Source organism: Homo sapiens, chromosome 3, assembly GCF_000001405.40.
Source record: "Homo sapiens chromosome 3, GRCh38.p14 Primary Assembly".
Classification (NCBI taxonomy): Eukaryota; Metazoa; Chordata; class Mammalia; order Primates; family Hominidae; genus Homo; species Homo sapiens.
Window position 1 is genome coordinate 100,595,957 of NC_000003.12, and position 13,644 is coordinate 100,609,600.

At 40.7% G+C, this 13,644-nt stretch overlaps 1 annotated feature.

Annotated features, from left to right (window-relative positions):
• Positions 7,163-7,432: an enhancer, noted in NCBI's record as "active region_20161". NCBI's record gives its function as "activates an Ori minimal core promoter by ATAC-STARR-seq in GM12878 lymphoblastoid cells {active_cell/tissue: GM12878}" and the evidence as "EXISTENCE:reporter gene assay evidence [ECO:0000049][PMID:35858748]".

Consider the following 13,644-nt stretch of genomic DNA (forward strand, 5'->3'; position numbering starts at 1 on the left):
TTAGTTTAATTAAGTCCCAGCTATTTATCTTTGTTTTTATTGCATTTGCTTTTGGGTTCTTGGTCATGAAATTCTTGCCTAAGCCAACGTCTAGAAGGATTTTTCCAATGTTATCTTCTAGAATTTTTATAGTTTCAGGTTTTAGGTTTAAGTTCTTAATCCATCTTGAGTTGACTTTTGTATAATGTGAGAGATGAGGATCCAGTTTCATTTTCCTACATGTGTCTAGCCAATTATCCCAGCACCATTTGTTAAAAAGGGTGTCCTTTCCCCACTTTATGTTTTTGTTTGCTTTGTCAAAGATCAATTGGCTGTAAGTATTTGGGTTTATTTCTGGCTTCTCTATTCTGTTTCATTGGTCCGCGTGCCTAATTTTATACCAGTACCATACTGTTTTTGGTGACTATGGCCTTATAATATAGTTTGAAATCAGGTAGTGTGATGCCTCCAGATTTGTTCTATTTGCTTAGTCTTGCTTTGGCTATGCAGGCTCTTTTTTGGTTCCATATGAATTTTAGAATTGTTTTTTCTAATTCTGTGAAACATGATGGTGGTATTATGATGGGGATTGCGGTGAATTTGTAGATTGCTTTTGGCAGTATGGTCATTTTTATAATATTGATTCTACCCATCCATGACCATGGGATGTGTTTCCATTTGTTTGTGTTGTCTATGATTTCTTTCAGCAGTGCTTTGTAGTTTTCCTTGCAGATGTCTTTTGCCTCCTTGGTTAGGTATATTCCTAAGTATTTTATTTTATTTTATTTTATTTTATTTTATTTTATTTGCAGCTATTGTAAAAGGGGTTGAGTTCTTGATTTGATTCTCTGCTCAGTTGCTGCTGGTGTATAGAAGAGCTACTGATTTGTGTATGTTAATCTTGTATCTGGAAACATTGCTGAATCATTCCATCAAGTCTAGGAGCTTTCTGGAGGAGTCTTTAGGGTTTTCAAGGTAAACGATCATATGGTCAGCAAACAGGGAGAGTTTGACTTGCTCTCTACCAATTTGGATGTCCTTTATTTCTTTCTCTTGTTTGATTGCTCTGGTTAGGACTTCCAGTACTGTGTTGAAGAGGAGTGGTGAGAGTGGGCATCCTTGTGTCGTTCCAGTTTTCAGAGGGAATGCTTTCAACTTTTCTCCATTCAGTATTATGTTTGCTGTGGATTTGTCATAGATGGCTTTTATTATATTGAGGTATGTTTTTTGTATGCCGATTTTGCTGAGAGTTTTAATCATAAAGGGATGCTAGATTTTGTCAAATGCTTTTTATGCATCTATCGAGATGATCATGTGATTTTTGTTTTTAATTCTGTTTATGTAGTGTATCACATTTATTGACTTGTGTATGTTAAACAACCCCTGCATCCCTGGTATGAAATCCAGTTGATCATGGTGGATTATCTTTTTAATATGCTGTTGGATTTGGTTAGCTAGTATTTTGTTAAGGATTTTTGCATCTATGTTCATCAGGTATATTGGTCTGTAGTTTTATTTTTTCATTAAGTCCTTTCTTGGTTTTGGTATTAGGGTGATACTGGCTTAATAGAATGAATTAGGGAGGATTCCCTCTTCCTCTATTTTGTGGAATAGTGTCAAAAGTATTGGTACCAGTTCTTCTTTGAATGTCTGGTAGAATTCTGCTGTGAATCCGTCTGGTCCAGGACTTTTTTTGTTGGTAATTTTAAAATTACCATTTCAATCTCACCATTTGTTATTGGGCTTTCAGGGTATCTAATTCTTCCAAATTTAAGGTAGGACGGTTGTAATTTTCCAGGAATTTATCCATCTCTTTTAGGTTTTCTAGTTTATGTGCATAAAGGTATTCTTTGCAGCCTTGAATGATCTTTTGTATTTCAGTGGTGTTAGTTATAATATCTCCCATTTCATTTCTTAATGAGGTTATTTGGATTTTCTCTCTTCCTTTCTTGGTTAATATTGCTAATGGTCTATCAATTTTATTTATCTTTTCAAAGAACCAGCTTTTTCTTTCATTTCTCTTCTGCGGTCTTTTTTAAATTTCAATTTCATTTAGTTCTGCTCTGGTCTTGGTTATGTCCTTTCTTCTGCTGGGTTTGGGTTTTGTTTGTTCTTGTTTCTCTAGTTCCTAGAGGTGTGACCTTAGAATGTCAGTTTGTGCTGTTTCAGTCTTTTTGATGTAGGTGTTTAGGGCTATGAACTTTCCTCTTAGCATGGTCTTTGCTATATCCCAGAGGTTTTGATAGGTTGTGTCATTATTGTCGTTCAGTTGGAATAATTTTTAATTTCCATCTTGATTTTGTTTTTGACCCAATGATCATCAGGAGCAGCTTATTTAATTTCCATGTATTTGCATGGTTTTGAAGGTTCCTTTTGGAGTTGATTTCCAGTTTTATTGCACTGGGATCTGAGAGAGTGCTTGATTTAATTTCAATTTTCTTAAATTTATTGAGATTCATTTTGTGGCCTATCTTATGGTTTATCTTGGAGAAAGTTCCATGCACTGTTGAATAGAATGTGTATTCTGCAGTTGTTGGATGAAATGTTCTGTATATATCTGTGAAGTCCATTTGTTCCAAGGTATAGTTTAAATCCATTGTTTCTTTGTTGACTTTTTGTCTTGATGACCTGTCCAGTGCTGTCAGTGGAGTATTGAAGTCCTCCACTATTATTGTGTTGCTGTCTGTCTCATTTCCTAGGTCTATTAGTAGTTGTTTTATGAATTTGGGAGTTCCAGTGTTAGGTGCAAATATGTTTAGGATTGTGATATTTTCCTTTTGGACAAGGCCTTTTACCGTTATATAATGTCCCTCTTTGTCTGTTTTAACTGCTGTGCTTTAAAGTTTGTTTTGTCTGATATAATAGATACCCCTGCTCACTTTTGGTGTCCATTTGCATGAAATGCCCTTTCCCACCCCTTTACTTTAAGTTTATCTGAGTCCTTATATGTTAGGTGAGTTTTCTGAAGGCAGCAGGTGGTTGGTTGGTGAGTTCTTATCCATTCTGCAGTTCTGTATCTTTTAAGTGGAGCATTTAGGCCATTCACATTCAGTGTTAGTATTGAGGTGTGAGGTACCATTGCATTAATGATGCCATTGTTGCCTGTGTACCTTGGTTTTTTGTTTTTGCTTTTAAAATTGTGTTTTTGCTTTATACGTCCTGTGTGATTTATGCTTTAAAGAGGTTCTGTTTTGATGTGTTTCCAGGATTTGTTTCAAGATTTAGAGCTCCTTTTAGCAGTTCTTGTAGTGGTGGTTTGGTAGTGGCAAATTCTCTAGGCATTTGTTTATCTGAAAAAGGCTGTGTTTTTTCTTCATATATGATGCTTAGTTTTGCTGGATATGAAATTCTTGGCTGATAATTGTTTTGTTTGTGGAGGGTGAAGATAGGGCCCTTCTAGATTGTAGGGTTTCTACCGAGAAATCTGCTGTTAATCTGACAGGTTTTCCTTTATAGTTTACCTGGTGTTTCTGTCTCACAGCTCTTAAGATTCTTTCCTTCGTCTTAACTTTAGATAACCTGATGACAATGTGCCTAGGCGATGATCTTTTTGCAATGAATTTCCCATGTGTTCTTTGTACTTCTTATATTTGGATGTCTAGGTCTCCAGCAAGGTCAGGGAAGTTTTCCTCGATTATTCCCCCAAATATATTTTCCAAACTTTTAGATTTCTCTTCTTCCTCAGGAACACTGATTTTTCTTAGGTTTGGTCGTTTAACATAATCCCAGTCTTCTTGGAGTCTTTTTTTGTATTTTCTTATTCTTTTTTCTTTGTCTTTGTTAGACTGGGTAATTTGAAGACCTGAATTTCTTTCTTCTACTTGTTCAGTTGCATTGCTGAGACTTTCCAGAGCATTTTGCATTTCTCTAAGTGTGTCCAACGTTTCCTGAAGTTTTTCTTTATGCTATCTATTTCCTTGAATATTTCTCCCTTCACTTCTTGTACCTTGTTTTTGGATTTCCTTCATTGGGCTTTTCCTTTCTCTGGTACCTCCCTAATTAGCTTAATAACTAACCTCTTGAATTCTTTCTCAGATAAATCAGGGATTTCTTCTTGGTTTGGACCCATTGTTGGTGAGCTAGTGTGATTTTTGGGGGATATTAAAGAGATTTGTTTTGTCATATTACCAGAGTTAGTTTTCTGGTTCCTTCTCATTTGGGTAGGCTCTGTCAGGGGGAAGGTCTAGGGCTGAAGGCTGTTCAGATTCTTTTGTCCCATGGGGTGTTCCCTTGATGTAGTACTCTCCCCCTTTTCCTACGGATGTGGCTTCCTGTGAGCAGAGCTGTAGTGATTGTTATCTCTCTTCTGAGTCTAGCCACCCAGCAAGTCTACCCAGCTCCAGGTTGGTACTGGGGGTTGTCTGCACAGAGTCCTGTGATGTGAACCATCTATGGGTCACTCAGCCATGGATACCCGCCCCTGTTCTGGTGGAAGTGGCAGGGGAATGAAATGGACTCTGTCAGCGTTCTTGGCTTTGGTGGTTTAATGCTCTATTTTGTGGTGGTTGGCCTCCTGCCAGCACGTGGTGCTTTCCAGAGAGCATAAGCTATGGTAGTATGGAGAGGAACTGGTGGTGGGCGGGGCCTTGTAACTCCCCAGAGTATATGCCCTTTGTCTTCAGCTACCAGGGTGTGCAGGGAAGGCCCATCAGGTTGGGGCAGGGCCAGGCATGTCTGAGCTCAGACTCTCCTTGGGCATATCTTGCTTCAGCTGCTGTGGGGAATGGGGGTGAGCTTCCCAGGTCACTGGAGTTGCGTACCTAAGAGGATTATCACTACCTCTGTTGAGTCATGCAGGTTGTCAGGGAAGTGGGGAAAGCTGGCAATCACAGGCCTCACCCAGCTCCCACGCAATCTGAAGGGCGGTCTCACTTCCACCATGAACCCCCACAAACAGCCCCGAGTCTGTGTCCAGGCAGTGGGCAAGCAGGGCTTGAGAACTTGCCCCAGGCTACCTGCCTCCCAGCTTGGAAAGAAAAGGACTTTGGTTCTTCCCCTGCTTGTGGAGTCTGCATGCCGGATTCTTGTTCTGCCCCGAGTTCTGGCCAGGAGGCTTCTTGCCTGGTTCAAATTGTTACAAAGTTTAGCTAAAGATTTCCTTCTGTTTGTGGCATTTCCCCCCACACCTCTGGCTGCCCTCTTGAAGGATCCCTGTGGTGCCAGGCAAGAGTGGCCTACTTGGGGACCCGGGAAGCTCCCAGGGCCTTTCCCGCTGCTTGCTCTACCCCTGTATTTTGCTTGGCTCTCTAAATTGACTCAGCTTCAGGCAAGGTCAGAAACTTCTCCTGCAAACTAGACCCTTATTTTCCCCAGTGGGGGTATGTGTTCGGGAGCAGTGAATCTTCTTTTCCCACTTCGGCAGTTGGGGCACTCACAGCATTTGGGGGTCTCCTGGGTCCTGCAGGAGTAGTCTGCTTCCTTCAGAGGGTCTGTGGGTCCTCTTGGGATTCCTGGTTTGTTCTTGCAGTCGTTCTGCAGCTAAAATTCACAATACAAGCCTCTGCACACTGCTCTGTCTGTACAAGTCAGAGCTGTAAGCTAGTCCTGTCTCCTGTCCGCCATGATGATCAGAAACTCCCACCCTTTTACTTCTTAATAGTACTATGGCCTGTAAGATGCAGTGGAGGCGAGGTCTGCAGTTGCTTCTTAGCGACTGGATTATGCTCCTTTCTTGGGGGAGTGCATGTGGAGCCTGACTTCCTCTGCTGCCCCAGCTACAGCTGTTAATTGATTTCATTCTTTTTTTATGGCCCAATAGTATTCCATTGTGCATATCTACCACATTTTCTTCATCCATTCATCTGTTGATGGACAGTTAGGTTGATTCCATATCATGGCTATCATGAATAGTGCTGCAATAATCATGGGTGATTTCTCTGACCAAGAGAATATGGTAGAAGTGACACTGAACAAGTTCTGGTTGTAGAATGTAATGCCCAACCTTGTTTTTACTAACGCTGTTTTTAGACTCTCCCTTTCCTTTAATCACCTAGCCTTGTTTCCACCTGAATTGACTCTCCTTTAGCTAAGAGAGCCAGACAGACTCCATCTTGGCTCTTTCACTCGCAGCCCCTTCCTCAAGGACTTAACTTGTGCAAGCTGACTCCCAGCACATCCAAGAATGCAATTAACTGATAAGATACTGTGGCAAGCTATATCCGCAGTTCCCAGGAATTCGTCCGATTGATAATGCCCCAAGCCCCGCGTCTATCATCTTGTAATAGTCTTAAAGCTCCTGCACCTGGAACTGTTTACCTTCCTGTAACCATTTATCCTTTTAACTTTTTTGCCTACTTTACTTCTGTAAAATTGTTTTAACTAGACCGCTCCTCCCCTTTCTAAACCAAAGTATAAAAGAAAATCTAGCCCCTTCTTCGGGGCCAAGAGAACTTTGAGCATTAGCCGTCTCTTGGCCGCCGGCTAAATAAACGGACTCTTAATTCATCTCAAATTGTGGTGTTTTCTCTAACTCGCTCAGGTACAACAGACTGCCAGAGGTCTTATTTTCCACTGTTGCTGTCTTAGAATTCAACTGCTATGTGAAGAAGCAAGGTTATTCTGTTGAGGAGGCTTCAGGAAGAAAGAGGCCCTAGCGGAGAAAAGACTATGAGGTAAAGAAAGGTCCAGCTGACTTAGCCTTTCTAATCAACTAGCTAAGACCCAGACAGGTGAGAAAGGCCAACTTGGATTCTCCAGCTCCAGCTGAGCTTCCAGATGACTCAGCTAAATAAACATGAGGAACAAAGCTATCTCTGCAGAGTCCTGCCCAAATTGCATGGTCATAAGCAAATGAATGGTGATTGTATCTTAAATCCCTAAGTTTTGAGGTGACCTGTTGCGTAGCAATAAATAACTTACACTGATCATTTCATTAAATAATTATACTTTACTAAATGGAAAGAATTAGGATCCAGAATATTATCTTGTCAACATGTAAAGGATAGTGCTGTTTCACACAGGACATTGCAAATTTCAACCCATCTTGCTCAGATCAGCTTATGACTTCCTACTACTATTTTTAGGACTAGTGTTTATACGGGACTATTTCTCAGATGATTCTCTTGCTTAGTTACTACAAATTTGGGGTTTGCCTTTCACTTGAATTGGGCTTTCTAGAACGAAAAGAAGAAAATCAAACTATTTCCTACACTGTGCCTCTCAACTTAACCATGACTGTTTCTCTGCTCTTTTAATCTTTACTATACACCTCTGCCAACCAGCTCAGACTTTGGAGATGGAAAATGGAAGAAATAAAAGAGAAAGCGAAAAAGAAAGATAAAGGAAACGAATCTGCAGAGATAAACAGAGGAACTGATGTTCTCTAGAGCAAAATGAAGAAGTAAATTTGAAACTAAAAAAGACTTTCGGGAGTTCCTTTTCTTTCATCTTCTAGAGCACAGAGAGCTTCATTCAGGGTTACATGAATCAGAGTCCAGCATCTCCCATGGGCACATATTTTAGTTTCATGGACAATAAACTTCCACTAGTGTTAAATGAGTTACTTTCCACAAAATGATGCCTCCAGGAACCAATCAGCCCCGAAGATCCTATCTGGAACACCTGGCTCTGGGGAGAGTAGGAAGTTCCTAAGAACAAAGGGCTATAGAGAAAAGAAGATGCAAAGAAAGGTGCATGAGCCGGTGACTTCCTTTTGGCCTGGAAAAGCTTTTTGGATCCCTTTCTCCCTGCCCTCCCTTAACCACTAGGTGGAAACGGAGGGTGCTTTATTGTACAGATGTACTAAAGGATGAGTTTAAGGTTTCTCTGTTATTAGTAGCTCAGAGCTTCCAACAGTGAAGCAGCAGCAAAGGGCACTGGTGGTTTCCCAAGTGGAGACGCTCAGAGGCTCCGTCCTGAGATGGGGAAGTTGGGATTAGCCTTCATCAATGCTGCAGGAGGTATGATAAGCAGGTTTCTATGTTCTTAACTTTCCAGTGGGGTCACAGTGCAGGTTGTAGGGAAATAAAGGGGATTTCCGAGCCTCTTGACCCTTCCAGGTACAAGCTCATTAAAAACCTGCTAAAAAGAATAAGTGAATAAAATGAAACAAAAAAGAGTGGTTGTACAGACAACAGAAATATAGGCTCTTGATGAATTTTAGCAGGCTTTTCTGAAAATCTGGCTATCTTTAAGGCCATGAGTATTCCCATAAAGTAACAAATAAATGACCTATTAAACAAAATGCCATTTAATCTCTTACCATTTGCTACTTTGCTATAAACTTGATTCACTTCTTTTGGGAGAATTACCCCAGAGTAGTGGTTACCAAACTTCAGCAGACATCAACTCACTTGGAGGACTTGTTAAAACGCAGATTGCTGGGTGCCACCCCAGGATTTCAGATTCATTAGTTTTCTTATTTTGTTTAATGGATTATAATCTGTTATATGTATTATTTACTATTTTTAGGACTTACGTATAACATAATAAAATAATGTTATTTATTATAAACACTTATTATTTATAATAATGTTTATTTTTAAGCATTATTTATTTTGATGCTGAAATTGTCCACCATTTGATAATGGGGAGTCTTTTCAAGCTGGATTCTGTGTGTCCATTTGATATACACTCATTGTATCTTGCTTTCTGCACAAGATATTCCTGGCTCACCTATGACTTTCTCTGCTGCAGTCCTGGAATTAGCCATTTTCCAAGGAGCCATGTTACTCTTAGTGGAAACTTGTATTTACAAATCAAGTTCTGGGTTTTGGGTGTGCTCATTGTTAACAGGGTATCACTGCTTCCAGGCCAGAGCTAGAGAATAGGTGTATGTAAATATGTGATATATATAAAAAATATGTACAAATGTTCATGTGTGTTTATATAAACACACTTTTGTGTCTACATTTATTTATTGTTTATATATAATATATATTATTAGATATATTTAAAATATATAAAATATTCTCTTTCTCTTTGTATGTGTGTGTATATATATGTATATACATATACATATATGTATATGTATATACACGTGTATGTATATATGAGAATACATATATATATATTATGATTCATGTGGTACATTCAGTTCCAACGCAACACTATAGGTTTTTATGCTAAAGGCACAATAAAAATTATTTACTTCAAGTATTGGCAAAAGAAATAATATCACATCCCTTCCTTTGAAATACTTGAATTTGTTGTATTCGTCGTAACAGTTTTCCTCCTTTGCATGAGAAGTTCCTGACTTCATTCATGCATTTGTCTGACAGCCCTCTTTCCTGGAGGTATTGCTTCCTTCAGAATTAACGGCACGTAGCTTTTCTTTCTCTTTATTTCTGATGACCTGTTTTGAAATTCTCATGGAACTCCCATTATCTCCCCTTCCATGTTTGTAATGTCCTTCCCCTTCTCATCTATACAGGTGGGCAATGCAGCATGGGAAGTCAGAGCCAGAGCTCTGAAGGAGAAATTTGGCTCCCGGCATCCTCCTGTGCTTGCCTGTTTGATCCGTCATCCTCTTTGTAGCCAGTCTCTGAGCTCCACTAGCTCCACTACCACTGCCCATCCATGCGGGGACCCCCTTGGTTCTGTGTCTGGGCTCTGACTCCCTGTTTCAGGCGGCCACTCCGTGTGGACACCCTCCCCACTCAGCTCCGGCTCGGGCTTCCTGCACTGCATTGCTGGCCTGCCTAGATGCCCTCCTGACTGCTCTTGGTCCCTGAAGGCCACCCTCCTCTCCCTGCTCTGGCTTTGATTTTCTACCCAGGGTGCTCTCCTGCCCTGCTTGGTTGGGCTCTGTCTCTCCGTGACAGGTCACCCTCCCCTCCCCCCACCCTCATCCTATTGATGCCTTCTTTATCCTGCCTGGGCTCTGGCATCTCATGCTAGGTCTCCCTCTTATCAATGCTTGCCTGCCTGCCTGCCTGCCTGCCTGCCTGCCTTCCTTCCTTCCTTCTTTCCTTCCTTCCTTCCTTCCTTCCTTCCTTCCTTCCTTTCTTTCCTTCCTTCCTTCTTTCTCTCTCTCTCTCTCTCTCTCTCTTTCTTTCTTTCTTTCTTTCTTTCTTTCTTTCTTTCTTTCTTTCTTTCTTTCTTTCTTTCTTTCTTTCTTTTTTGAGACGGACTCTCTGTCTGTCGCCAGGCTGGAGTGTAATGGCGCCATCTCGGCTCACTGCAACCTCCGCCTCCTGGATTTAAGCAATTCTCCTGCCTCAGCCTCCCGAGTAGCTGGGATTACAGGCATGCGCCACCACACCCAGCTAATTTTTGTATTTTTAGTAGAGATGGGGTTTCGCCATGTTGGCCAGGGTGGTCTTGAACTCCTGACCTCAGGTGATCCGCCCACCTTGGCCTCCCAAAGTGCTGGGATTACAGGTGTGAGCCACTGGCCCTGGCCTATCAATGCTTTCTTTACCGCACTGGGGCTCTGACACCTACTCTGGGCCACTGCCCCACTCTACCCCTACCACAGACACCTGCCTTGTTCTTCCTCAGCTAATGACTTTAGAACTGAAATGTTCAGGAAGGGAAGGCCTCAACTGGATTGTTTAAAATATAAAGAAATGGAAGCCCCACGGTTTGCCCAGAGTCACACAGCAAATTAGTGGCAGCATCGGTACAAATCCAGTTCTCCCTGAGTGTAAGTTGGGTGAAGACACGGATCTTGTCTTTTGTTCACTACTTTATCCCCAGTGCCTAGCACAATGTCTGCATTGAGTAGAATGAAAGAATAAATGAATTATTTCCTGTTTAACTCTTTTCCTTTTCTTCTTTGTCATCTTGGTATGTGTGTATTGTATGTATGTGTAAATACTGGTGACCCTTTACACATTTGTCTCTTATCAGTAGTAATTAATGCCCTTACATAAATGTCAACATCTTAATTTCTGTGCCTAGGAATTTCTTCAATTCCATGAATTTCTGGAGTTTCTAGCTGGATAGATGGCAAGCCTTATAAACCTTGTCATGTGGCTAAGGACATGGAAGCCCTATAAAGCAGCAGTCATTACAGCATCCCAGGACTCCAGGACTTCCACCAACTGTGGAAGAGAGGATGTGTGATCACCATCAAAATTAGTTTTCTAGTCATTAGACTATAATCCCTTCAAAAGATTCAGAACCCTACAAGAGAAAAACACCATCACCAGATGGCAAACTTGAGACCCAGGATCCCTTCCTTCAGTCACACTGTTCAACTAAGACCATTCTGCAGATGACCACACAGGGCAGTGTTTCTAAAGCATGTGTTGAAGAACCCTGTCTCTGAGAGATCCTTCTTGAGAAGAGGATTCTGAGTTCAAATAACATTGAGAACATACTTGCATACATGTCTTCTCTAGCAGTTCACAATGGACATGAACATTGTGAATGCTCTAAGAAATGCTAGAGTGGAGAAAACTGTTTAACTTTGTGTTACCTGGCTTCATCCAAAGGTACTTAACCATAAAGCTCCTGTGTAGAATAATACCAGTTTCAGTCTCATTTCCTCATTCATGCAAAGGGCAAACACATTATGTTACCTGGGGCTTTTACACAGAGTGAATGAGATAAACATGTGTAAAGTATAAAGCACCATCCTTGGTATACACTACACATATGATAGGTGTTAATTCCTTTTCTTAGATTTATTTATTATTTATTGAAAACCATTGTTTTATTATTGAAAAAGTTATATATATTTATTTATAATAATAGAAAGAATACACAAGGCTAAAACTTCAAACTATAAAAGGGATATAAAATTTTAAAACTCTCTCCTACCTCAGATTCCTCAGATTCCCAAGAGGAACTTTTTCATGTACCTTTCCAGACATTTTCTGTGCATGTGTATGCAGACATATCAGAAACAGATTTTTAAAGATCTATTCCCAGTAAATGAGGTAATGGGTTTGCATTCATTTGTGTTGTACTTCTGCAGCAGTACTTCTAAGTTCTTCCATTTTGTGCTACCTCAATTTGTTTTTCTGAAATTCTTGGGAGGGGTAAAGTTAGGGCCTTATGTTTATAGCAAAACATTTATAAAGTGAATGTCACAGAGAATTGGAAACCCCCATAGTGTTTGGGGGTTAACTAAAGGTCAGTTTAAGTGTAAAGCCTTTTTTGGTAAAGCCTTGCTGAATACTTCCTGAAGGAATTAATGGGCTGGTATGTAGGTAGTAACGGGCTAGTACATAGGTTTCCAATTTATGATGGTTTTTTTCACTTCTGATTTTTCAACTTCACCATGGTGCAAAAGCAATATGCATTCAGTAGAAACCATGTTTGGGGTACCCATACAACCATTCTGTTTTTCACTTTCACTACAGTATTCAATATATCACATGGGATATTCGCCACTTTATTATAAAATAGGCTTTGTGATAGATGATTTTGCCCAATTTTATGCTATTGTATGTGTTTTGGGCACATTTAAGGTAGGCTAGCCTAAGCAAGGATGTTCAGCAGGTTAGGTGTATATTTAATGCGTTTTGACTTAAGATATTTTTTAACTTAAGGTGGATTTATTGGGATGTAATCTTATTGTAAGTCAAGGAGCACCTGCACTCCATAATAATTAAATATGATGATCTTTTATTTTAGCAGTTATGACTTGCCTTATAGGTGGCTATATCTAGGTATCTCACCCCTGAGAAATTATGAGTTCTTTGAGGACCCTGTTCATGTCTTGTACCAATTCAAACACATTAAAGGCATTTAATATGGATTTGATGAAGCAAGGGAGTGTCCAGAGAAGACCAGAGCATCTGTTCTCTCTACCAAAACAAAACTGTGATTGAGGAGGTGAATGTTCATGTATCTGTTCTTCCCTGTAAGGGTAGAGGGTAGGGAAGGAGAACATGGGAGCCTGGGCAGGAGAGGGTCAGAGCTGCATCTATAGAGAGACACCAGTTTGTAGTTACTCTGATGATGTATTAGTTTCCCAGGGCTGCTCTAATAAAGTACCACAAACTGGGTGGCTTAAACAACATAAATTTGTTGTCTTACAGTTTGGGTGGCTAGAAGTCAAGTCAAGGTGTCAGCAGAGCCAGTTCCTTCTGAGGACTCTCTCTTGTAGATGGCCGTCTTCTCTCTCTGTCTCTTCAGATCATCTTTCTGTATTCATGTCTGTGTTCAGATTTCTTCTTCTTATGAGGACACCAGCCATATTGATTAGTGACCACCCTAACAAACTCGTTTTAACTCGATCACCTCTGCAGTAACCACATCTCCATGTGAGGCCTCATTCTGAGGTACCGAAGGTTAGGACTCCAACATATGAATGTTGGAGGGGACACAATTCAGCCCATAGCAGGTGGGTTATCATGCTGGGCTTTAGTGCTTGTCAAGACCCAGCCTGTGCCAGTATGCACACTCACCAACTGCATCTGTCAAAATGTAGGCTCCTTAAAGAAATGCAAGCGCTAAAAACCATGTGTGGTGATTGCCATTTATCCTCTTATTGACAACCTAGTTCATTTCCCCGAGAGAGTGTTTTGTGTGGTCTGAAGCACCTGCCAGTCTATCTCTGCTGTACCCTCCCAAGACAAAAATACAGGAAGCCGAGCCATAGGTGACTACTGGCAACCACTGCCTTTGTGATTTCCTCTTTGGTTTCTTCTATTTTGTTCCCTTCCTTCACTCTGTGGCTTGTCTGGGCATTCACTCTTTGACCCTTGTGGCTAGTCCCTCCCCTTCTTCTTTATTGCCCTGAGTTATCTCCCTATTCCCATAACTCTAATC